Source organism: Homo sapiens, chromosome 22, assembly GCF_000001405.40.
Source record: "Homo sapiens chromosome 22, GRCh38.p14 Primary Assembly".
Taxonomy (NCBI): domain Eukaryota; kingdom Metazoa; phylum Chordata; class Mammalia; order Primates; family Hominidae; genus Homo; species Homo sapiens.
Genome location: NC_000022.11, coordinates 43,923,618 through 43,948,366, shown reverse-complemented (window position 1 = coordinate 43,948,366; position 24,749 = coordinate 43,923,618). Strand labels below are relative to the sequence as shown.

General features: G+C 51.9%; 1 protein-coding gene across 1 annotated transcript, besides 5 other annotated features; it reads right to left on the bottom strand.

The window, feature by feature from the left end:
- On the bottom strand, window positions 785-24,562 carry PNPLA3 (patatin like domain 3, 1-acylglycerol-3-phosphate O-acyltransferase). The gene is made up of 9 exons (NM_025225.3): window positions 24,269-24,562; window positions 21,200-21,432; window positions 19,478-19,543; window positions 15,280-15,489; window positions 13,701-13,761; window positions 11,095-11,316; window positions 8,242-8,374; window positions 3,572-3,676; window positions 785-2,213 (listed from the first exon to the last, which is right to left on the bottom strand). The coding sequence occupies exons 1-9, from the start codon at window positions 24,453-24,455 to the stop codon at window positions 1,985-1,987; spliced, it is 1,446 nt and encodes a 481-aa protein (NP_079501.2). The 5' UTR covers window positions 24,456-24,562; the 3' UTR covers window positions 785-1,984.
- Window positions 2,164-2,458: an enhancer, noted in NCBI's record as "tiled region #5125; HepG2 Activating DNase unmatched - State 12:CtcfO, and K562 Activating DNase matched - State 8:EnhW". NCBI's record gives its function as "activates a minimal TATA promoter and a strong SV40 promoter by Sharpr-MPRA in HepG2 and K562 cells {active_cell/tissue: HepG2 | K562}" and the evidence as "EXISTENCE:reporter gene assay evidence [ECO:0000049][PMID:27701403]".
- Window positions 2,164-2,557: a biological region, named in NCBI's record as "Sharpr-MPRA regulatory region 5125".
- Window positions 2,398-2,557: an enhancer, noted in NCBI's record as "active region_19192". NCBI's record gives its function as "activates an Ori minimal core promoter by ATAC-STARR-seq in GM12878 lymphoblastoid cells {active_cell/tissue: GM12878}" and the evidence as "EXISTENCE:reporter gene assay evidence [ECO:0000049][PMID:35858748]".
- Window positions 23,260-24,002: an enhancer, noted in NCBI's record as "H3K27ac-H3K4me1 hESC enhancer chr22:44320245-44320987 (GRCh37/hg19 assembly coordinates)". NCBI's record gives its function as "activates a minimal SCP1, AML or CMV promoter by ChIP-STARR-seq in primed H9 embryonic stem cells {active_cell/tissue: H9 hESC(primed)}" and the evidence as "EXISTENCE:reporter gene assay evidence [ECO:0000049][PMID:30033119]".
- Window positions 24,003-24,747: an enhancer, noted in NCBI's record as "H3K27ac hESC enhancer chr22:44319500-44320244 (GRCh37/hg19 assembly coordinates)". NCBI's record gives its function as "activates a minimal SCP1, AML or CMV promoter by ChIP-STARR-seq in naive H9 embryonic stem cells {active_cell/tissue: H9 hESC(naive)}" and the evidence as "EXISTENCE:reporter gene assay evidence [ECO:0000049][PMID:30033119]".

Genomic DNA, 24,749 nt, shown 5'->3' with positions numbered 1-24,749 from the left:
ATTATTTGTAGCAATTACTCTTTATTCCAATATTATAATAATCCTCACTCTACAATCATAACCTAGGAAAAACCAGGCCATACAGAGATAGGAGCTGAGGGGACGTAGCGAGAAGTGACCAGAAGACAGGAGTGCGAGCCTTCTGTTATGCCTGGACAGGGCCATCAGAGGGCTCCTTGGTCTAGCGGTGACACCAACATCTGGGAAGACGCCCATTGCCAGGCGGACCGTGGTCTAGCGGTAGCAAAAAGTGTCAAGGAACAACACCCGCTACTTAGCAGACGAGGAAAGAGAGTCTCCCTTTCCCTGGGGGAGTTTAGAGAAGACTCTGCTCTTCCACCTCTTGTGGAGGGCCTGGCATCAGTCAGGCTCGCCCACAGTTATCTGGAGGCCTAACTGTCTCCCTGTGATGCTGTGCTTCAGTGGTCACGCTCCTAGTCCACCTTCATGTTCCATCCTGTACACCTGGCTCTGCCTTCTAGATAGCAGTAGTAAATTATTGAAAGTACTAAAAGTCTCTGATATGCAGAAATAATGGCGTAAGCTGTCTTTCTCTTTGTCTCCTCTCTCTCTCTGCCTCAGCTGCCAGGCAGGGAAGGGACCCCTGTCCAGTGGACACGTGACCCACGTGACCTTACCTATCATTGGAGATGAGTCACACTCTTTACCCTGCCCCTTTTGCTTTGTATCCAATAAATAACAGCGCAGCCAGACATTCAGGGCCACTACCGGTCTCCGCGCATTGGTGGTAGTGGTCCCCCGGGCCCAGCTGTCTTTTCTTTTATCTCTTTGTCTTGTGTCTTTATTTCTACACTCTCTCATCGCCACACATGGGGAGAAACTCACTGACCATGTGGGGCTGGTCCCTGCAGAAAATAAGCCAGGTTCAAGTTGTGTGCTCCAGTGGAGAGGAGGCGGAAGCTCCTGCTGTGCTTGGCTCCTGCCTGGGGGGCTGAGGTGAATGCCCTGCACACTAGATTATTTTGTTTTTTAAATTTTTTTTTTTTGAGTCAGACTTTCACTCATGTTGCCCAGGCTGGAATGAAATGGTGCAATCTCAGCTCACCGCAACCTCCGCCTCCTGGGTTCAAGTGATTCTCCTGCCTCAGCCTTCCGAATAGCTGGGATTACAGGCATGCACCACCATGCCCAGATAATTTTTGTATTTTTAGTAGAGACAGGGTTTTGCTATGTTGGCCAGACTGGTCTTGAACTCCTGACCTCAGGTGATCTGCCAACCTTGGCCTCCCAAAGTGCTGGGATTACAGCCGTGTGCCACTGCACCCAACCGATTTTTTTTTTTTTAAGGCTTATTCTACTAACATCTCACTGATTCACATAATACAAAATTCAACAGGTAACAACGCTTCCTTACATTTTTATACAAAACTCTTTAAACATTATTTTAGTTAGGTGAAAAAGGTGTTCTAAAATTAAGTAGATTATCATCTTGTTACCCCCGCCATGGAGACGTTTTTAGTAGTCAAGGTTATCATCTTTGCAGACCACCTGACAGGCAGTGTCGTTCTTGGGGACGAACTGCACCCCTTCCCACAGCATGGGGAAGTGGGATCATGCTATTCTCTTCCCTCCACCCCACAAGATCACACATGGGCCAGCCTACCCCCCATCACAAGGCCCCCACCCATCCAAACACCTGTCATTCTAAGAACCTCATGCTGGAACAGTCTGACCATTAATAGGGCCACGAAACAGTCAGTAAGGGACCCTCTGCACTGGGCTTCCTGGTGTCATTTCCCAACCAGCTGAATTAACGCATGCTGATGTATTAGAGTTAAGTGCTGGACCGCTGCACAGGCGAAAGGTTGCTTCCTAGCTTTTCATAAAACCAACTCAGCTCAGAGGCTGGGATCCTCCACGTCACAGGCAGGGGTCACTACACAGCAATGCGGAGGTAGCTGCACAAAGATGGGAAACTTTAGCACCTCTGAAAGAATCTGCTAGACTCGCCTCCTCAAGTGACTCACAGACTCTTCTCTAGTGAAAAACTGGGAAAGGTGGAGAGCCCCTCAGCACCAGCAGGTACTTTATTGCCCAAGAAGAAGTTCAGGCTGGACCTGAGGATGGACCGCGGGGTGGCCTCTGCTTTGGTCTCTGCTGGACAGCCCTTGGGGGAGCAGGGAGTCCAGCAGGGCCAGTCCTGCTCAGGTGTGCATGGGGAGGCCTGTTGGCTGCTCACTGGCATTTGGGACCTGAAACACATGGAGGAAGTTGGCTTAGAGGCCGTTCCCGCTGCTGCAGTGTGCAGTCTGAGCTACGGTGGACCCACATTGCCGGCCAGTAGAGGGCACCACACACACTCTAGGGTGCCGTCACAGCCAGAGACACAGCTTCTTCTAGCCCTCAGTGCTGGGCTGATGTCACCACCTAGGTCTTCCAAGCCTGTGGCCCTCCCAGCTACCTGGACACCTCCCACTGGACATCACAGGTGTTGTCCACCAACGAATCCCTGGAGGGGCCTATCAGTTTCCCCCACACAAACCTACTTGCCTGCCAGGGTGTCCTACCACCCACCGCCTGGCACCACTGACCACCAGTCACCAGGGCTGCCCCACTCCTTAGGCTTGGAACCGACACCTCCTCCTGTCCAAGAGCCTTAGGAAGCCTCTCGGTCTACAGATCGTCCCTGCCTGGGCCCTGGCAGCCCCCCTTGCTGCCTGCTGCCAGCCAGGGCCCAGGATCCACCCTCTACTTGGCCACTACTGCCCTCTTCCCTAGCAAATCGGATCTTTGCATTCCCCTACTTTTAAATCCTTCTGTGTCTACCAATAACAACAATAGCAAGAGAGGCCATACCTCCTGATGCCCAGCATGTGCCAAGTACCATGCTACGGGCTCTCAGGAGCTCACGGAAACCCATTGAGGGGATGGGGATCACCCCTGTTAGCCAAGTGAGGAAACCAAGGCCTATGATTTTCAGGATAACGCCCAACCCTGGTAATGGGAGCCAGGCCCTGAACTCCGGCTCAGTTTCCAGAATTCAGAATTCAGGAAGTAGCGGCATCCCCTGGGGCCTGTCAACGCAGACTGCTAGGCTTCACCCCGGAGACTGTGACTCAGTACAACAGAGGGTGGAGGACAGGGGGCTTGCATTACCAGGCACCTAGCCACACGCTCCGAGGAGCTCTGCTAGCCCTGCCCCTCCAGGGTCCCACCTCCTTCCTGTGCCATGGGTGCCAGAGCTCCTTCGCTCAGACACGCCAGCGCTATCTGACACTCCCCAGTCCTCATCCCAGCCACTCTGTCTGAAGCACCTTTCCCTGCTTATCTGGGGCCTCTCTGCTCTTCCACCATCAATGCTGCACTCAAAGAGACTCATCCGACGGGAAGTCTTCCCAGGCTCCGGTTCAGGTTGGCCTGGGTGGCAGCTCTCAGCAGGTGTGCCAGGACCTCTGACTGACTCAGCTGCCTCCCATGAGACAGGGTCCCCACACCCAAGGGCAAGCTCCTTGCTTGGTGTTCAGCCAGCTGTTTCTAGAATGTCGTGTGAGGCCTCATCAGATGAGAGAGGTGCCCGTCCGGCCCACACACCCACAGCCAAAGTATTTACCTGGAGGCGGGGAGCAGACACATCAGCACTCGAGTGAACACCTGTGAGGTCACCCACTGCAACCACAGGACATCGTCGGGCATATCTGGAAGCCATGTCACCAGTCTGCAGAGATGAGACCAAGTACACAAACACACACATAGGCAGACACAACAGCTTACAACACTACCCTTTGTTTACAAAAGCTGCCAACATCACCTCCAATCTGATGACTTCCCAGAAGGTGGATCTGGGATGCTAGGACAAGGACAAGCCCACCTGAAATCTCTAAAGCAAAATGAGCCCACTTCTGGTTCAAGAAAGCTCAAGGGACTTACACTGAAATAAAGAGGGAAAAAAAAACACCTTGGCTTTTCAGGGCTCTTCCCAGCTTGGAGAGGAGCTGAGGCCCATGGCAGCTGCTGCAAGGGCTCTCATGGTCAAGACCATCCCCTGCCTCATGGTTTGCTGTGCTTGGTCACATGTGAGCCCAGCAGAGGCACCATGGAGAGGTCTGAACGCTACCTCCTCTAGACTCTCCATCCCCCAGACACATAAAGGACCCCCACCTCAGGGTCTCTGATAAATGCCTGACCACAGACATCCCCCCGGCAGTGGTGGGGTGGGGAGGAGGAGGCTGATCCTGGGGAGTGGAGAAGGAATCTAGGAAGGCGAGGGAGAGAAAGGAGCCGGCTTTTGAAGGAGAGACTGGGCATTAAAAGATTAATCAGGGCCAGGTGTGGTGGCTCACACCTGTAATCCCAGCACTTTGGGAGGCCAAGGCAGGCAGGTCAGGAGGTCAGGAGTTTGAGACCAGGCTGGCCAACATGCCAAACCCCACCTCTACTAAAAATACAAAAATTAGCCAGGTGTGGTGGCACATGCCTGTAATCCCAGCTACTCAGGAGACTGAAGCAGGAGAATCTCTTGAGCCCAGGAGGTGGAGGTTGCAGTGAGCTGAGATCGCGACATTGCACTCCAGCCTGGAGGACACAGAGAGACTCCATCTCAAAAAACAAAAAAAAAGGATCAAAGGACATGACAGACTAACTTACTAAAAACAAAGTAAACACCCACCAAATCTTCGTGTAAAGATGTGAGTGAAATAAGTGCTCAGGACTGCAGCATGCAACCACCCTATGTTTCCCAGTGTGGCACAGAGAAAATCCCGAAGTACAAGCGCAGCCTTACGAGAAGTGATAAATCTGCAAGAGCAACGAGGAAGGAGCAGGAGCTCACCAATGAGCAAGATATATATTTCAACAGATTACTGGACCCCAGGCAGAAGGGGAGGGGGCTGGTGATGAAACAGGCAGAGCACGGGGAGCCAGCGTTCACCACCAGGGCAAAACCCAACAGTTCAACCAGCTCCAGGGAAAGGGTTTCTAGGAAAGCGGTAGCACCGCCAAGTAGACATCCTTCCCGCAGCCTGCCTGTCACTGTCTGGGAGCTCTGCCAGGTGATGCACCTACCCTTTTCTCCCTGAGCTCCAAGTCCTCTGTTGCTATATGGGAAAAAACCCACCAAGAACACGCCCAGAATAAGTAGCATAAAAGAGAAAGATGAAGAAACAGAAAAACTAGCCCAAGAAGAAATGGAGAAGGGATGATCTAGAGGACAGCAAATATTCCAAGAGAATGTTACATCCATAAAACAAGAACAGAATGCTAAGAAAAAAGAACAAGAGAGTACTCTTGGAGATTAAATTATATTTGCTGAAAGTAAAAACTGTAGGATAGGACTAGAAGACAAAATTTGAGGAAATCTGTCAGAGCAGACGCAAAAAGACAACGAGTGATGAAAAATATGACAAAGAGAGAAAGTCAGACACGGAGACAGGAATCCAACCCAGGAAGTCAAACATCTTCCTAATAAGAGCCCCAGGAAGAGGAAGAAAAAGTCTGGGCAACATAGTAAGATCCCATCTTACAAAATTTTTAAAAAATATTTGTTGGGTGTGGTGATGTGTGCTTGCAGTCCCAGCTACTTAGGAGGTTGAGGTGGGAGGATCACTTGAGTCTGGGAGGTTCAGGCTGCAGTGTACCATGATCAGGTCACTGCATTCCAGCCTGGGCACCAGAGTAAGACCCTGTCTCAAAAAAAAAAAAAAAAAAAGAAAAAAGAAAATGGAAGGGAAGGAATAACAGAAATAACAATAGAAGATAATTTCCTAGAGCTGGAGAATGACAGAAGGCTTTGACTGAAGGGGTCTCCAGTACTTGTCCAGCTCAATAACTGAAATAAGGACTTACACCAAGACATATGACATTTCAGAGTATAAGGGATAAAAAGACAGTCCTAAGAGCACTCACCTGCAAAGAAGTGAGAATGTGACTGTCTCAGTCCCAGGCTTCTCACTAACCAATATACTGAGAGGAAATGATTTTCAACCTGCAATTCTAGACATGGCCAACCTATCACTGAGATGTAATAGAAAAAAAGCACGTTTCCCAACACACATAAAGTCAAACGTTTTCTTCCTTGGGAGTTTACTAGAGACTCTGCTCCAGAAAAACCAGGGAAAAGCCAAGAAAAATGAAGCTACAGATCCATGCATGGCACAGTGGCTCCAGGAGGGAAGATGGCAGGATGTAGCTGTGTGGTGGACAGCCCAGGGCACACACCCAGATGGAAGTGGGGCAGGAGGACCTAAGAGTGGTCCAGGGACAAATGGCAAGACCAGAACTTCCCAATGATCTTAAAAAGCAACTGGGGATGGGCTGGCTCATTCCCTCCCTTTCAGAAGCATTTCAGCAGGAATCTGAATCCTACCCCTTAAAGAACACAGCATCTGAGGTTATTTTAACAGCTCAGGTATTAAACTGCCAAGTCCAGGGCCACATCCACAGGAGGCTCAGCAGCCTCTTTGTAGCAGACAGATCAGCACTCGCACCTCCTCACACCTTCAGGCTCTTCGTTCTCCCTTCCCTGGACTCCCTGCAGCCCCATTCCTGATGCCTGTATTAGCTCAATATTTTTCTTTCAGTCCAGGGTAATATTCAGACCAGGGTAATTTTTTTTTTTTTAATCAAGTGCCCTCCACTGTCAGACAACCCACTGAGGTCGGTTTTCCTATCCATATATTGCGGATGAAACCGCTGAGGCTCAGAGAAGTCGAGTAACTTGCCTGAGGTCACACAGCTTAGAAATTGCAGTGCCCTGGCCTAATGCCCATACCTTTTATCTGTCTCTAATTTTACGATCATCATTATTACCTGAAAATAGAAATCAACATCTCTAGCTGGATGCTTACTATGGGATGAGTACTCCTGCACTGTGAGTCAGTAACCAGATTGAGTCTCCTGACCACCCTCTGCTCCAGGTGATCTCTCTAGACGGGAAGCTGCAGCACAGAGAGGTGGATTCAGTCATCTGGAGTCACACAGCTGTAGTAAGCAATGCAGCCAGGATTTGAAGAAGAGCAGTCTGACTGCTGAGCCAAGCTCTGACCATTCTGCTCCCCACCCCCCATCCCCCCCACTTTCAGAGGAAGCCCAATCAGAGGAAACCCAATCAGAGGAAGCCCAATCAAGAAGTTCTAGGAGAGTCACACTGTGTTCTCCTAACTGCTGGCTCTGAATCATATTAACAAACTATGCCTAGAACGAAAGATGGAATTCCCTATGTTCTACTTTCATGTGATTTGATTTTTTTTTTTTTTTTTTTTTGAGTCGGAGTTTCGCTCTGTAGCCCAGGCTAGAGTGCAGTGGCATGATCTCGGCTCACTGCAACCAACCTCCGCCTCCTAGGTCCTGCTTCAAGCAATTCTCCTGCCTTAGCCTCCGGAGTAGCTGGGATTACAGGCATGCACCACCATGCCCAGCTAATTTTTGTATTTTTAGTAGAGACATGGTTTCACCATGTTGGCCAGGCTGGTCTTGAACTCCTGACCTCATTATCCACCCACCTCGGCCTCCCAAAGCGCTGGGATTACAGGTGTGAGCCACCGTGCCCGGCCGTGACTTGATTTATTATTTTATTCATTTCATTACCTTTCATTTTATTTTGAGATAGGGTTTCTCTCCTGTCACCCAGGCTGGAGTGCAGTGGTACAATCTTGGCTCACTACAACCTCTGCCTCCCAGGCTCAAGCGATTCTTCTGCCCCAGCCTTCCAAGTAGCTGGGAGTACAGGCACGTGCCACCATGCTCCACTAATTTTTGTATTTTTAGTACAGATGGCATTTCACCATGTTGGCCAAGCTGGTCTCAAACTCCTGACCTCACATGATCCACCCACCTTGGCCTCCCAAAATGCTGGGATTACAGCCGTGAGCCACGGCGCCGGCCTTCATGTGATTTTAAATGGAAACAGCTCAGAGGGGCAGCAAGGATCCTGCTTCTAGGCCTGGCCCTTCTACTAGGCATCTCTATGGCCTCAGAGCAGTGACCCCAAGCTCTCCAGGCCTCAGTTTCCTTGGGCAATCACAAGAGACTGGACCAGCTGCTATGTGAGGCCACTGACAGCTCTAGGAGTCCCCACGGGGAGTTTCTGGGCTTGCACTGAGTTACAGGTGCATGTGTGGCTTGAGGACAGGTGGGCAACATTCAGGGGCATTGCACATAGACTGTGAGCTGTGATCTGTGGCACGACAATCCAGGTCCCAGACTACATGCCACCATGATCTATCATCTTGTTTCATCCTCATATCAACCCTGTGAGGAAGACACGGAGCCACCTAAAATGCTCACCTCTGGACAATCGCAATGGCAGATTCCACAGGCAGGGTACAGGGCAGCATTACATAAGACATTATCCTAATGGGTAGCAAGTTGCAAATCTTGCTCATGTATCCACCTTTGTCTTTCATTTCTTCACTCAGTGCTGAAAAAGACAATTTGGAGCTATTATCTCCCACCACTGTGAAAAACCAAACCACTTTACTCTGTTGGTGCTTAGCATTTCCATAAAATACGCCCGTCCTGGCAGCCAAAGGGTCAGAGGCACTCACAAAAGCGACAAGGTGGGGTTTGCCAAGCTGCTCCTTTCTTTTTTTTCCAGACAGAGTTTTGCTCTTGTTGCCCCCAGGCTGGAGTGCAATGGCGCAATCTCGGCTCACTGCAACCTCCGCCTCCTGGGTTCAAGCGATTCTTCTGCCTCAGCCTCCCAAGTAGCTGGGATTACAGGCACCTGCCACCATGCCCAGCTAATTTTTTGTATTTTTAGTAGAGATGGAGTTTCACCATGTTGGCCAGGCTGGTCTTGAACTCCTGACCTCAGGTGATCCACCCACCTCGGCCTCCCAAAGTGCTAGGATTACAGGTGTAAGCCACCGCGCCCGGCCCAGGCTGCTCCCTTCACAGCAAGGGCAGTGTGAAGCTGAAGCGGGGAGCACAGCCAAGAACAGCTAAGAGAGTGCTTACGGAGCATAGGGTCCCCACTCCCAGCTCCTTTAAATTGACAAATATGTTTGGAAGTCGCCATTCCAGAAAGCCTGCTTTTATTTTCCTTGAAAAGACATGTCCATTTCCAATATCATAGCTGAAATTAAATAGAAAATGGTGTGTAAGTCATGAGGCAAAGAATCATCTTGTATTAAGAAATCTGAATATACCCCACAGCAAATAATGTGCACAGAAACAGCTACATCAGGCTGGGCATGGTGGCTCATGCCTGTCATCCCAGCACTTTGGGAGGCTGAAGTTGTTGGATCACTTGAGGTCAGGAGTTCAAGACCAGCCTGGCCAACATGGTGAAACCCTGTCTCTACTGAAAACACAAAAATTAGCCAGGCGTGGTGGTGTGCACCTGTAATCCCAGCAACTCAGGAGGCTGAGGCATGAGGATCATTTGAACCTGGGAGATGGAGGCTCCAGTGAGCCAAGATCACGCCACTGCACACTCCAGCCTGGGCAACAGAGTGAGACTCTGTCTCAAAAACCAAAACACAAAACAAAAAACAGCTACATCAAACGTCACAGCATCTATGTTCTCCTAGGTACTTCTCAGGCACCACCAGCTTTACAAGCTGGTCCTTGACCCTCTGCTGGATTCCAGAGCCTTCTTCCTGGAGCCCCAGTCTTTTATTCCCTCTCTTTAATGACCTCGTGATGCCTCAAATCGTATTAATCTGGTCATATGGTTTGGATCTGTGTCCCTGCCCACATCTCATGTCAAATTGTAATTCCCAGTGTTGGAGGCGGAGCCTGATGGGAGGTGATTGGATCATGGGGGCGGATTTCCCCACTGGTGCTGTTCTCTTGATAGTGAATGTGTTCTCATGAGATCTGGTTGTTTAAAAGTGTATGGCACCTTCCCTCTATTTCCCTCTCTCTCTCACTCCTGCTCCAGTCATGGGATGTGCATGCTTCCCGTTCACCTTCTGCCATGATTGTAAGTTTCCTGAGGCCTCCCCAGAAGCTGAGCAGATGCCAGCACCATGCTTCCTGTCCAGCCTGTGCAACTGTGAGCCAATTCAACCTCTTTCTTTATGAGTTACCCAGTCTCAGGTATTTCTTTATAGCAATGTGAGAACAAACTAATGCACCTGGGCAGCTGCTGTGTCCCATCTCTTAGGGCACCTCAAGAATAAGGAGTTATGTCTGACTCATTTTTGAATTTCTCCAAATGCCCAACTCTGTAGCTGGTTTGTGGGTTCTTCTGTTTGACTTAGTCCGTGTTCAGGCTACTCTAACAAAATGCCACCAACTGAGTGGCTTATAAAACAACAAACATCGATTTTTCAGAGTTCTAGAGGCTGCAAGGTCCCAGATCAAGGGGCAGCAGACATGTTGGTGTCTGGTGAGGGCCTGCTTCTTCATAGACACCACCTTCTGAGTCCTCACACAGTAGAAGGGACAAGGGACCTCTCTTGGGTCTGTTTAATAAGGGCACCAATCCCATTCATGACAGCCCTTTCCTCATGACCTAATCTCCTCCCAAAGGCCCCACCTCCTAAGACCATCATGTTGGGGGTTAGGATTTCAAAAGACAAATTCTGGGGGGTACACAATCATTTGGACCATAGCACTGTCTCCATTTGATATTTGATGACATTATAAAATACAGCACCATTCGATGGAGGTTCAAAATTGTGGGTTTAGGGGAAGGGAGAAATTAGGAGAGGTCTCAAGAAAGGAGCCTTGAGGTGGGTGGACAGGTGGAGGGAGGCGGCTGAAAAGGAGCTCCGAGTAATAGGCCAAGTCCCAGATGCAGGACCCCCATCCTTGGGGTCCATGAAATCCAGGATGGCAGGAGCTCAGGTGCCATGTTAGGGAGACAGAGTTGGAAAGGGGTACAGAGGGCCCAGCTGCCACAGGCAGGAGCCTATATGGGGAACCCCAAGGGGCTCAGCTGGAGTTTGTTTTCCTCCTGGTCATGACCCCATGGGAAGGGAGACTTGGCAAGGTTCCAGGATTGGGGGGGTTGGGGGCTGTGCTGGGAGTGATGGCAGCAGCCCAGGCTGTACACATGGAAGGAGATGTTCCCAACCACCTGTCATGGTTGCCTCACCCTATCGCTCCCATGTGGCAGTACCATCTTCCTCCATAATGCACAAGAAAGAAAACAAGGTGCTGCCCGTGCTCACCCCGAGGAGTGGGTACCTGTAGCGAGCCTGGGCGAGAGGGTGTCCAGGATGCTCTCATCCCAGGGCAGGATGCTGAGACGCAGGTGGTCTAGCAGCTCATCTCCCTCCAGCCTCACAGCCAAGGCAGCCGACTCCGGGGAAGAATCCAGACTCATGTTTGCCCAGCTGGGCATGGCGACCTCAGGATCCATCCCTTCTGAGGATGACTTCAGGCCTGGCTGGGGCCTGTTGCAGATGCCTGTGAAGGGCACGGAAAACAAGCCCATCAGGCGAACGTGGGAGTGGTGGTCGTTACCCACCCATCTACCAAACTGCAGGGAGGCAGGCAGCTGGCCTGTTATTAGCCAAATGCAAGGGGAAGAGGGGAAGGGAAGAGAACGAGCACAGGTGTTTGTCACCCGGAGAAAGGGGTATGGGGCTTTAAAGCAGGACACACGTGAGCTTGGCTCCTGCTAGCTTTGTGGGCTCCATCTACATATCTGGTTTCATGAGGTGCAAAGGCGAGGGTTAGTGTTGGTTTATAACAACTGAACCACTGGTTACACCTGCCTTCCAGGCCCTGAGCTAGGTGCTTCACCATAAGGCCTTACAGAAACCACTATCATCATCTCCATTTTTCAGCTGAGAAATCAGAAGCACAGCAAGGTTAAAAGACTTGTCTAAAGCCACGCAGCCAATACATAGCAGAGCCAGGATTTGAAGCTGGGTCTGATGTCGAAGAGGGTACTCACTTCCATCACAAGGCCTTGGAAGAAGCACCCAGAAGGGAGGATTGGGCACCAGTATGTGCCAGGCCCTGTCCTGGGTGCTGGGACTCAGCCACCAGCACCAGTGAGCGGCCCTTGCTCTTACAGCATTGGCACACTGGGCTGGGGGAGGGGGACTTCAGACAACCACAGCTGCACCTGGCCCAACTCTGGCTTCCAACTTCAGGCTGAAGAGACCAGGGGCTGCTCCTCAACGCCTGAGCCTTGCCCCCCAAGATAACCTCACATTCATGCTTGCCCCGGCTCTTTCCAGGCCCTATCAGATGCCCTCCTCACCCTCCGAGATGTCACTTTCCCTTAGGAATATTGCCAGGTATCTGTTCTCAGGCAGATGCTGCTTCCAGCATCTCTGGCACACCAGCTCTTCCTGCCATACCGGCTCCCTCCTAATGTCCTCAACCCTCAACCCATGGGCACATCTCCCCATCTCCCCTTGCCCAACTGCTAAAGCCAGAAGCCGGGACTGCGCTCTTCTGTCTTCCTCTTCCCAAATGTCCCATCGGTCATTTCCAAGTCCTATTCCCCTGGACTCCTTCAAATTGGTTTCCTCCTCATGACCCTCGCAGCCCTGATCCTGGTGGAGCCTGTGGCTGCCTCACTGGCCTCCTAGACACTGGTATCTCGCTTCCTGTCCCGCATCCAGGGGGCTTCCAAAGCTCTCCTCTGATCCCCTCACTCCTACTGCAGCAGCCCTCAGTGGCTCCCTACCACTGCAGGATGCAATCCCCCTGTATCCAAAAGGCCCAGCCTGCCCTCCTCTCCCATTTTTCACCACTCCTGACCCCCTCTTCTCCAGTCATCTCTTAGTGTCCCCACCCCCACACTTCCAGCCATCTCTTAGTGTCCCCATCCCCACCCCTCCAGTTGCACAGGCCTTCATGCCATCCTGTCTGTGTCCTACAGGCCTCGCATCCATGGGTCCCCATGCCTAAGGCGCTCCTACTTATCCCCAAAGTCTTAATGTGGATTCACGTCCTCCGAGAGGCCCTTCTTCCCCTGGGCCTTGGAGATCCATCCTGCATGAGCCTCCAGCATCCTGTGTCTTCTCCTTGACACCTGTGCCTTCTCATTGGCACCTGTACTTTCCCATCGACACAGCATCACCCTTCTGCTTACTTATCTGCTCACTTCTCTCACAAGGCTGGCAAGGGTCACACCTCTGTGTTCACTGCAGTATCCCTAGCACACAGCAATGAACATTTTCTGAGCAGATAAATACACATATGTCCTTAAAAATGCAGTCTCCTTGGTCTTGGCCAACGACAAATTCATCAACCAACTTTTAGTATTAAAGAAAAATAGCTCCCAACACATCTTTTTCCTTCCACTCTAATATTTCTACAGCAGAACTCCCCCAGCCCTGACAAGCCAGGATGACTTGAAGGCAGAAATGTGCTCTGGGAAGAGCAAACTTGTCTAGTGGGCTTGGACCCACACCTGACTGGAGATGAGAAATCTGATTGCTTCATTTGGGGTCCAGGCGCAGAAACTCTTTAACTTCGGCCCTTGTTAAACTAAGGGTCACAAGAGGTCGAGCTGGAAAGAAAAACCGCCTTCAGATAAGGGGACCCTGGGGAGGGAGAGGGCCCTGGAGTCATGACATCCCAGTTCAAATCTCGGCTCTGCCCCTCAGGGAGGGGTGTGTGCTGCTTGGCTCTCCTTTCCAAAATTCTGTTTCCCCATCTGTACAATGGGACGGAGATTTCCTATCTCCTGGGCTCATGAGTAGGTTGAGCAACACAAGGAAGGCGTTGGGCACTAAGTGTTAGAACTAAGGCAAATCTCAAGTCTTTACCAAGACCGCTAGTAAATGCTTGTCAAAAGGGCATGGCTGATCCTCCCAGCCCATACATACCCTTCTCTTCCAAGAACCTGAATGCATCCAAATATCCTCGAAGGCATATCTCTCCCAGCACCTGTGAGCAAAGCAAGCAAGGGGACTACAGCAGGGAGACACCAAGCACCATTTATTTCAGCATCATTGGAAGACCGCAGAGAGCACCAAAGAATCATGCAAGCTCTGAGTCTGCTGGCTGGGGGCACTGAGCCACCTGGGGGCTGAGCAAAGGGCTCTGTGCTCCCAGGAGACAGTTCCCTGGAGGTCTCGGCTTGAATGTCACCCTTCCACGGAGACTTTGCAGGCACCCCAGCAGGCCAGAGCCTCTTTTTTTTCCTTTTACTTTTCTTTTTTTTTTTTTTTTTTTTAAGGCAGAGTCTTGCTCTGTTGCCCAGGCTGGAGTGCAGTGGCGTGATCTCGGCTAACGGCCACCTCCACTTCCGAGGTTCAAGCCATTTTCCTGCCTCAGCCTCCCTAGTAGCTGGGATTACAGGTGCCCGCCACCATGCCCGGGTAATTTTTGTATTTTTCATGGAGACGGGGTTTCACCATGTTGGCCAGGCTGGTCTCAAACTCCTGACCTCAGGTGATCCACCTGCCTCAGCCTCCCAAAGTGCTGGGATTACAGGCGTGAGCCACCGCGCCTGGCAGGAGCTTGTTTCTTTGGGCTCCCTTGGTCCCGGAATAAGCCTCCACCCTAACAAACTTTGCAGCCTATCCCAATTGCCACTAGGACAATAAGAGCTGTCTCCTCTACTCATCTGCTTATAAAGCACACGGGAAAACCAATCCTGTTAGACAGCTTTCCCTCTCCCTTGGACTGTGAGCATGCATTGCATTGCATAGCCTTCTTTCTTTCTCCCCAGGAGCACCAAAGGTTGGTGTACATGGTCTGCAAATTTCTTACTATGGTAGAGTGGTAAGGCATACTAAAACCACCACAATCAAAAAAGGTTAAACTACCGAACGCAGTTGTTCTTGACCGTGTTTCCAAATAAGAATCATCTTAGTGGCTGGGTACAATGGCTCATGCCTGTAATCCCAACACATTGGGAGGCTGGGGTGGGAGGATCGCTTGAGGCCAGGAGTGTGAGACCAGCCTGGGCAACACTCCACAAAATTTTTAAAAATTAGCCAGGTGTGGTGCTGCATGCCTGTGGGTCCCAGCTCCTTAGGAGGCTGAGGTGGGAGGACTGCTTGAACCCAGGAGTCTGAGGCTTCAGTGAGCTATGATTGCACCACTGCACTCCAGCCTAAGCGGCAGAGCAAGACCCTGTCTCAAAAACAAACCAAAAAAAAATCTTTATAACTAAAAAATAAAAAATCCTAATACCCATACTGCACCCCCCTGACTATATAACCACAGCCTGGGAAGTGGATCTGAGTTTTAGGTCTGGGTATATGTTCCCAGGTGATTCCCATAATCAGGGTGGTGCCTCACCTGAGCTTCTGGGACAAGCGCCTTTTATTTCCGTTAACCATCAAGGACAGGTCTATTTCTGTTTGATTGTGCAGACAGTAACTGGTAGCTCCTGGCAATCAGGGAGGCAAAGAAGAGCTGCACCCCAGAACACCTGCCCCCTCACCACCAACTCACCTTGAGATCCGGGGGGACAAAAGCTCTCGAGAGAAGGTAGAGGTTCCCTGTGCAGAGGCGTAGACTGAGCTTGGTGATGTCCACATGAAGAAAGTTCGTGGACTTGACTTTAGGGCAGATGTCGTACTCCCCATAGAAGGGGGACACGGTGATGGTTGTTTTGGCATCAATGAAGGGTACGTTGTCACTCACTCCTCCATCCACATATCGCTTTTAAAGAAGGGGAAAAAGGACTGGCACTGTCTGAAGCTCTGGGTTAGTGCTTAAGTGCTTAACAAGCTTTCACATGTGGGCAGAGCTTCTCAGAGCCACAAACAGGCTGATATGGAGGGAGGACATTGGCTTTGGAATCACTCCTGCGACAAATCCTTACCGAGCATTCCGGTGCTAGGACAGGCTCTACTCTGGCTCTCAGGGTTGCCGTCTACTGTTGTACAGTGTGTGCACTGCACAAAAGTGCCTGGCAAAGAGGCAGATGGAAACTGGAGTCCATGTTGTGTTGGCCAAGTCCTAGGGCCAGATGGGCACCTATAGGAGTGCCCATGTAACATGCCTAAGGGGGTCATATGAACTAAAGGGTGCTCAGTGCACGGGGACAGAGTGTGATGGAAACCCAAAGGAGAAACATGGTCATGGATTCAAATCCAGACCCCTTTGCTGCTTGCAAGGAGGATACAGAAATCTGGGATAAGACCTTTAACCCATGAGCCCATCTCCCCCCATGCTTTGACAATTAGAACCAACACCTGGAGGGACTTTTGAGACTTAAATGAAACAATGAACCTGGGACCTCAGAAAATGTCCTCTAACCCACAACACAGCAGCATTTTGGATAAATTATTCTAAGGGTGAGTTTTCCTTCATCTATATCCTTAAACCACCTTATTGCCCATAGCTCGGCTGGGGCAGGCAGCTTTTGCTACAATTTGGACAGAGCCTGCATCTGTGAAACTCATGTCAACAATGATTTCCAGCCACAGCCATCACAGCCAGCCATCAGAGCCAGCCATCAGATACCCACAGAGAAAGGCATCCAAAAGATTCCAGCTGGGAGGCTCTCCCCAGCCCGCCCTTCCACACGGAGGAATTTCAGAGCAGAGTTTGGCCTAAAACAGGTCCAGGAGAGAATCAGACATGTTCAGCCACACCTTAGCCATCAAGATTCTTGCCTGGAGTCCAGAAATGATCACAAGTTTACACAGCAACATTTCCAAAATCGTAGTCACACAATTTCTAGGGCAGATGTAGCAAGGCATCAAAAACCTCACTAGGAGCTGGGCATGGTGGCTCACGCCTGTAATCCCAGCACTTTGGAAGGCTGAGGCACATGGATCACTTGAGGCCAGGAGTTCGAGACCAGCCTGGGCAACATGGTGAAACCCTGTCTCTGCTAAAAATACAAAAATTAGCTGGGCATGGGGATGTGTGCTTGTAATCTCAGCTGCTCGGGAGGCTGAGGCAGGAGAATCGCTTAAACCCAGGAGCCGAGGGTTGCAGTGAGCTGAGATCGCGCCACTGCACTCCAGGCCTAGGTGATACAGTGAGACTCTGTCTCAAAAAACAAACAAAAACCTCACTGCATAAAGAGACACAGAATGAAATGCTAGGAATCTGGAGTGAAGACCAAGGAGGAAGGCGGCTGGTGGATCATCTTCATTCAAGGGGTAGTCAGAAGCCCAAATATTCTCCTGCCATGTACAACTTTTCCATGCATTTTGAACTTTTTTATAGTAATGTTTTGAATTTAGGAGCTCCAGTGGTGCAATTGATTAGCATGCGGTATGTACACAGTAATGCTTTGAATTTGCTTGCATTGAATTTGAAGAATAATGGGTTCTAATTGTCAGGAAGATGCCTATGAGCGCACTCAACGGGTGATGACACAGCATCTCGGGCCTCTATACATCAGATGCCAGTGGCACTCCCCCAGATTTTGTTTTGTTTTGTTTTGTTTTGTTTGTGAGACGGAGTCTCGCTTTGTTGCCCAGGCTGGAGTGCAGTGGCAGGATCTCAGCTCACTGCAAGCTCCGCCCCCCGGGTTCACACCATTCTCCTGCCTCAGCCTCCCGAGTAGCTGGGACTACAGGCGCCCGCCACCACGCCCAGCTAATTTTTTTCGTATGTTTAGTAGAGATGAGGTTTCACTGTGTTAGCCAGGATGGTCTCGATCTCCTGACCTCATGATCCACCCACCTCGGCCTGGTACTCCCCCAGTTCTGACAACCCAAACTGTCTTCTGATGTGGCCAGACATCCCCAGAGGGGGTTGGGGAAGGATGCAAGACTAGCAAGTGAGCCGGCACAGACCCAATGCCTACTCCAGAGCCTGCAGAACAAACACTCCTGCTTCGGCTTCTCCATCCCCCTGGCATGGCTCAGAAATCAGCCAATGCACATATTCACTGAACTCAGCCAAATCTGAACACTGCCAGCAGCTTTTGAACAAAGCTATGGGCTGAAAAGGACAGAGTAGGACCCAGAGGGCTTGAAACTCTCGACCAGGAAGGAAAGCCAGAACCGTGCACTGGGGAGCCAGAGAGCATCACTACGGTGCTGCTGGGTGCACTCCTGCTGAGTTCTGGGGAAGATCAAATAACCACATAAAGCCACCAGCATAACAAGGGGTTGGGGTCCTGCTGATGCCCAACCATGCTGTGGCAATGTCGGAAATCCAAAATATGCTTTGGTCACTCAGTAGCTGGGCACTCCAGTGGCTCCGTGGACCACTATCCTGGACCCCAAACTACAGAGAATGAGAAGAGCCGCCCTGCAGTGAACCAAGACATGCCCTGTTCTGACAGAGGAGCAGAGAGTGACCTGGGTGCAAGCTCGCTGGCCGTGCTCTTTGGGCAAGTATGACTCTCAAGTTCCCCACAGCCACACAGGATGAATAATCACATCTCCCCTTGGTTGTGGGGACCCTATAAGATAACGCACAGGAGCACGTAGTCTGTAATGGGAGGCTCCTAATGCGAGTCCCTCTGCCACGTGGCTCTGCTGGTGCTACATACAGGATTGCATCAAAGGTTCCGCTGCTGCTCTTGTGAGTTCAAAAATTACCCTAAAAGGCTAGTATTTTACAGCCTAAACTTCCTCCTGTGCATCACAAAGTGGCAAAACAAAACAAAGCACAAATCTAGGTTAGACCAGGCTGACAGATTTTTGTTGTTGTTTACAACACATGTGATTGTTGGCCGGGCACCATGGCTCACGCCTGTAATCTCAGCACTTTGGGAGGCCAAGGCGGGCGGATCACCTGAGGTCAGGAGTTGGAGACCAGCCTGGCCAATATGATGAAACCCTGTCTCTACTAAAAATACAAAAATTAGCTTGGCGTGACGGCAGGCACCTGTAATCCCAGCTACTCGGGAGGTTGAGGCAGGAGAATTGCCTGAACCTGTGAGGTGGAGGTTGCAGTGAGCCGAGATTGCACCACTGCACTCCAGCCTGGGCGACAGAGCCAGACTCCATCTCAAAAAAAAAAAAAAAGAAAAGAAAAAAATATATATATATGACTGTTATAGTTCCCCCTAAGAGTAAAGCTCCACCTTCCAGGGGTAACAGATTCTTCAGTGTCATATACTTTATTTACCTTTTTTTTTTTTTTCTTTTTGAGATAGAGTCTCGCTCTGTCACCCAGGATGGAGTGCAGTGGTGCGATCTTGGCTCACTGCAACTTCCGCCTCCCAAGTTCAAGCAATTCTCCTGCCTCAGCCTCCCGAGCAGCTGGGATTACAGGTGCACACCACCATGCCCAGCTAATTTTTGTATTTTTAGGAGAGACAGAGTTTCACACTGTTGGCCAGGCTGGTCTCGAACTCCTGACCTCAAGTGATCTGCCTGCTTCAGGCTCCCAAAGTGCTGGGATTACAGACATGAGCCACCGCGCCTGGCCAACATCATATAGTTTAACTAGATCACTGAGAAGCTATCTGATGCTTAAGGTGCAGATTAAGTGAACCAGCCAGTTTACCTTACAGATAGCCAAATAATTAATTACACATGCAGTAAGTTTTGCTGCCCGGGTAGCCTGGAAATAGGGCCAGCTGTGGCTACTCTGTCTGAAAGGCAGTGAGGCATGGGGCTCCACCATGGGACAGACCCTGAGGTGCCCGACACCAGTGCCCTGCAGGCAGGAGATGTGTGAGCACACTTCAGAGGCCCCCAGGACTCAGCGCTAGCAGAGAAAGCCGACTTACCACGCCTCTGAAGGAAGGAGGGATAAGGCCACTGTAGAAGGGGATGAAGCAGGAACATACCAAGGCCTGTGAAAGCAAAGGAGAGAGAAGTTATAGGCGAGAGCACCCTTTTAATTTTCCTGATCCTTCATAAGCTTTCTCCAAGTGAGCAGGGCAACAAACTTGAAAATGCCCTTTGCACAGAGTAGGTTAATCCATGGGTCAAAAGAACGGGGAACTAACATACACCCTCGGACTTCAGGCCCATGGGTCTCATCTATTGCATAATCCCCTTAACAACCCTGTCAGTGAACTTCAACTTCCTCTCCTTGCTCCCCATGAGAGTCACACTGGGTCACCACAGACAGGACCAAGGGTTGTTGGCTCATGGACTGAAAGGGGCTAGATCGGTGCTGTTCAAATGCCGGTATTCATTAGCATCACCGGAGAGCCTGTGGAACCAGAGATTCTGCGTCCCTCCCCAGAATTCCCATGCAGCAGGTCAGAGGTGGGACCTGAGGGTCTGCCATTCCAATAAGCTCAAAGGAGCTGCTGCTCTGCTGGTCCCAGGATCACACTTTGCGAAGCACTGTGCTACAGAGCAGTCAGCAGGCACCACGGTGATTCACTGGGAGAACGGACCCATGTGGGAACAGACAAGTGCTGGCTGTTTAGAGAAAGCTTCCGCAAACAAGGTTAAACAGAGGATGCAACTGGCTGCAGGTTAGACGCGCCAGGCTGCTGTCTTGCACAGATCTGTCAAGTAAATGGAGTCCTTCCTCCAAGGAGCGCTTATGAAAGCATCAGCTGAATTTAATGGTGTTTTGGTATTACAAATTATCTTCTCTCTGCTAGACCCTGAGGATACAGGCAAATAAGGCACGTTCCCACCCTTGTAGGGTTTCCAGTGAGAAGGCATCTTCATTATGGAAGATGCATAGAGGAAGCTCGGGAGAGGCACACCTGCAGGACAGGTTCCTTGGACTGGACGGTCATGAGCCAAGTGTTGAAGGAAAGGGAGGAATTATTTGAAATTGTAACTGCCAGGCAGAGGTGGGCAGATTACTTGGGTGCAGGAGTTTGGGACCAGCCTGGGCAACAGGGCAAAACCCCGTCTCTACAAAAAGTACAAACATTAGCAAGGTGTGATGGCCTGTGCCTGTAGTCCCAGCTCCTCGGGAGGTTGAGATTGCGCCACTGCACTCCAGCCTGGGAGACAGAGCAAGACTCTGTACCCCGCCCCCCCACCCAAAAAAAAGAGATAAAAAGTGAAGAAAAGAAACTGCCCTGGAACATTCAGGGTTTACAAACATGGACCAAATCACTGGAGGTGTACAGAGTTTATGTCACTCTGGCACAGGGGGCCTACAACTGCCTGTGTTGCTTCCAAAACAAAACAGTCTTTCTTTTTTTTTTTTTTCCAGACAGCATCTCACTGTCACCCGGGCTGGAGTACAGTGGCATGATCATGACTTACTGCAACCTCCACCTCCCAGGCTCAAGCAATTCTCCTGCCTCAGCCTCCCTAGTAGCTGGGACTATGGGCCCACAACACCATGCCTAGCTAATTTTTCTGTAATTTTTGTAGAGACTGGGTTTCATCATGTTGGTCTCGAGCTCCTGGGCTCAAGCAACCCACCCGCTTCGGCCTCCCAAAGTGCCGGGATGACAGGCATGAGCCACCACACCCATCCCAAAACAGCTTTTCTAACTTGACAACGTCCAGATAAGCAAACTGCTTACATCCACGACTTCGTCTTTGGACCGAAAGTCAGACACCAGAACGTTTTCCCCATCAGACACTCTGGTAAGAGAGATGCCTATTTTGCCGGAGATGAGCTGGTGGACATTGGCCGGGAGGCATTTGCAGAGACCCTGTCGGAGGAACTTGCTTAAGTTGAAGGATGGATGGAAGATGCCAATGTTCCGACTCCTGGCCTTCCGCACAAGATCTGAGAGGACCTGCAGAGTCTGCTCTGGGGACAGGAGACAAATACATGAAAGAATGTACCACACTGGGATGGTAATACTTTTGGCAAGGCCAGAAACCAGACAGCAAGGATGCCACCAACATTTCTCTAGACCAGTACTGTCTACTATGGGAGCCACATGTGGCTATCACGCCCTTGAAATGTGGCTCGTCAAAACTGAGATGTGTAAGATACAAACTGGATTTCAGTGGCTTAGTATGAAATATCTCATTAGTAAATTTTTATATTGAATAGATGTGAAAATGATATTATTTTGGATATATTGGGCTCAATGAAATTAATTCTACCTGTGTCTTTTACTTTATTCAATGTGGCTTCTAGAAAATGCACAATGACATCATGGCTTCCAGTGTATTCCTACCACACAGCACTGCTGTAGGCCTCAGCCACAGGAATGAGTCTCCCACTTCCAGAAGCCCAGGCGAGCAGGCCTCACCTCCATGCCCCACCTCCATGCCCCACATAGAGGCCAGGAACATATCAGCATTAGAGCTTTGGTGTAGATGGCCTTAATGCTATCAGGTGCAGGAGATCTGACCTCACTTACTGGCCTGGCCTCTCAGGCTGATCTGCACTCTCCTGGCATGCAAGACCACCCCTCCCAGCCCAACCCCTGGCCAGCCATAAATCTTGGGATGCACAGGGACAGGCAGGCCCCAGCCTGTCCTGACCCAAATCTGATCTTGACTCACAGCTCTCCTTCCCTGAGTGGCCAGAGGGGTGGAATTGCACGTGGCTGGCAGGTTCTGCCTGTCCCTCCTGCCAAGTTAGCCTCAGCTCAGATGCACTGAGGTGCTGTGTCCAGGATGCAGCCTCTGGGACATGCTCAGCAGCCCCCAAGTGCACAGCCCTCTGTGAGACAGGGGGTTAAAGCAGGAACCTGGAGCCCTGGAACCCAGGGAGTGGCTCCTGCCAACGCCTCCAGATCCACCTTCCAGGGACTTGGTGGTTCCTGAGCCTCCCTGTGTCCTGCCTGGGAAAGCCCCAGGCTGCACCTGTCCTCTGCCCAGTAAGGAATCCTTTCTATACCAGAGTGAGTGTACTTTAGGCTCCTGGGACCTCTGCATTTGAATTCTGTCCCAGTGTAAACATTTGTCCATGTGGGTGTCCACAGGCCACCTTGGGATACAAAAAAGCTGACTTTTATTGTTGCTAAACCCCAGGGTGTGCAAATGATCATGTGGCGGTCTAATCCTCCTGGAGGCCACATTTCGTGCCCTTTGCTCCTCTCCCCCTGGCTTAGGGGAAGGCAGACAGCCAGGACTGTCTAATCCCTAATCCCCACCTCCCAGTCAGCCCAGGGGCTGCCCACTGCTCCTACCCAATGGCAGGGCTTCCTCTGCCCGCTTCCTCACCACTGAACAGTCACTCCCTGCTGGCTCTGGCAGGCAGGGCAAAGAGTCCATTGTTAAGGAAGCCCAGATAAAAGGGGGCTAATGGGGGCATAATCTCCTGCCTGGGGACGTCTGGGTGTCAATAGCTTCACAATGCTACTTGCCCCAGCCCCTGCCTACTGGCTCACAACCCCCTCCTCGCCTCCAGGACTGTGGCACACAAATTCCCAGGAAGCATACCACACCCCAGTAGTTCCAGCTAGTGAGAAACAAACCCTCCGTCTGCACCCCCACCACACACACACAGGTACCCACATGGACAAATATTTCATTAGGACAAGATTCAAATGTACGGAATCTCATTTCCAGGAGTACTGAGCCGGAGAGGGGAGGGTGGGCCTAGGTCAGTGGAAACTAGAGAAGAGGATGGGATTGGGGGGTGTCCAGGGATGCACTCCAGCCCCCAGGAAGGGTCCCAAACACTGGAGGAGGAGGAGGAGGAGGAAACAACTTTCCTCTTTCAAGGTACCCCTCCCCACTAGACTCCAGTTAGCCTGCCCTGGAGGATGCCCAGGGTTGCCCTTCTGGGAGGCTACCCAGCCCCCAGAAGGCTGGGCTGCGACCCAGAGAGCGTAGGCAGCAGGGAGCAGTGGCTCACGCCTGTAACCCCAGCATTCTGGGAGGCCGAGGTGGGCAGATCACGAGGTCAGGAGATCGAGACCATCCTGGCTAACACGGTGAAACCCCGTCTCTACTAAAAAATACAAAAAATTAGCCGGGCTTGGTGGCTGGCGCCTGTAGTCCCAGCTACTCGGGAGGCTGAGGCAGGAGAATGGCGTGAACCTGGGAGGTGGAGCTTGCAGTGAGTTGAGATCACGCCACTGCACTCCAGCCTGGGCGACTGAGCGAAACTCCGTCTCAAAAAAAAAAAAAGAAAAAAAGAAAAGAAAAGCGCAGGCGCGGGGTGTCTTGAGTCCCTCAATCCCCAGAGGGAAGGAGCCCACCGTGGGGGACCGGCCAAAGCCCCACTCTTTGTCCGGCCCAGGGCAAATCGGCCCCTCGGCAGCTCAGCCCGTCCAGCCCCTCCCGAGAGGACACAGGGGACCCGGAGTCCGCAGGGGCCAGCACTACCCTCCGCCCCGGGTCCCGCTCCCTACTCCCCGTCGCTCCGAGACGCTCCGACTCTCAGTCCGGAGGTGAGGGTCTCCCTTCATGCACGGGCGCCTGATGGGGGTAGGGGTGGGGACGCACGAGAGTCCCAGGCTTCGGCCCGGACCGCTCGGGGTTCCAACGCCCCCTTCCCGGGCCCAGGAACAGCGCCCCCGCAGGAAGCATCTGCCTCGGAGGGGGCCCTCGGGATGCACCCCGCCGTGTCCGCGTCCGATGCCCGCTCCTCCAGGGCCCCGCGACCCCTGGGGATCCCCCGCTCCCCGGCCTAGGGGGCACCCACTCCGCACGTGGAGCCCGGGCAGCGTCCCCAGACGCACCCAGCGGGATACCGGAGAGGACGCCGACGCAGTGCAACGCCCCGGCCGAAGCGCCGAACAACATGCGCGCGTCGCGGAGGAGGTGCGGGGCGTGCTCGCTCAGGCAGCGGGTCGCCCCGACGTGGTAGAAGCCCAGGAAGCCGCAGCCCGCGAAGGACAAGCTCCAGCCGCGCTCTGCGTCGTACATGGCGGCGGCGGCGGGGCGGGGGCGCGGGTTAGGATCTGGGTCGGGATCGGGAATCGGCTCGGGTCCTGATCCGCAGCAGCTCCGCCCGGCGCCCGCAAGCGCTCTCTACCCTGCCTCAGTGTCTCGGCCAGGGCATTCCCAGCGCGACGTCAGCCCCGCCCCCCTCGGACCATGCAAATGAGCCGGCGGGAGGCCCAATGAGCGGGCAGGACGCCCTCCCGGGCGGGGCTTGGAGGGGGATGGGGGTGGGGACGACGTCTGGCGGGGGATGGGGGCGGGGACCGGGTCTGGGAG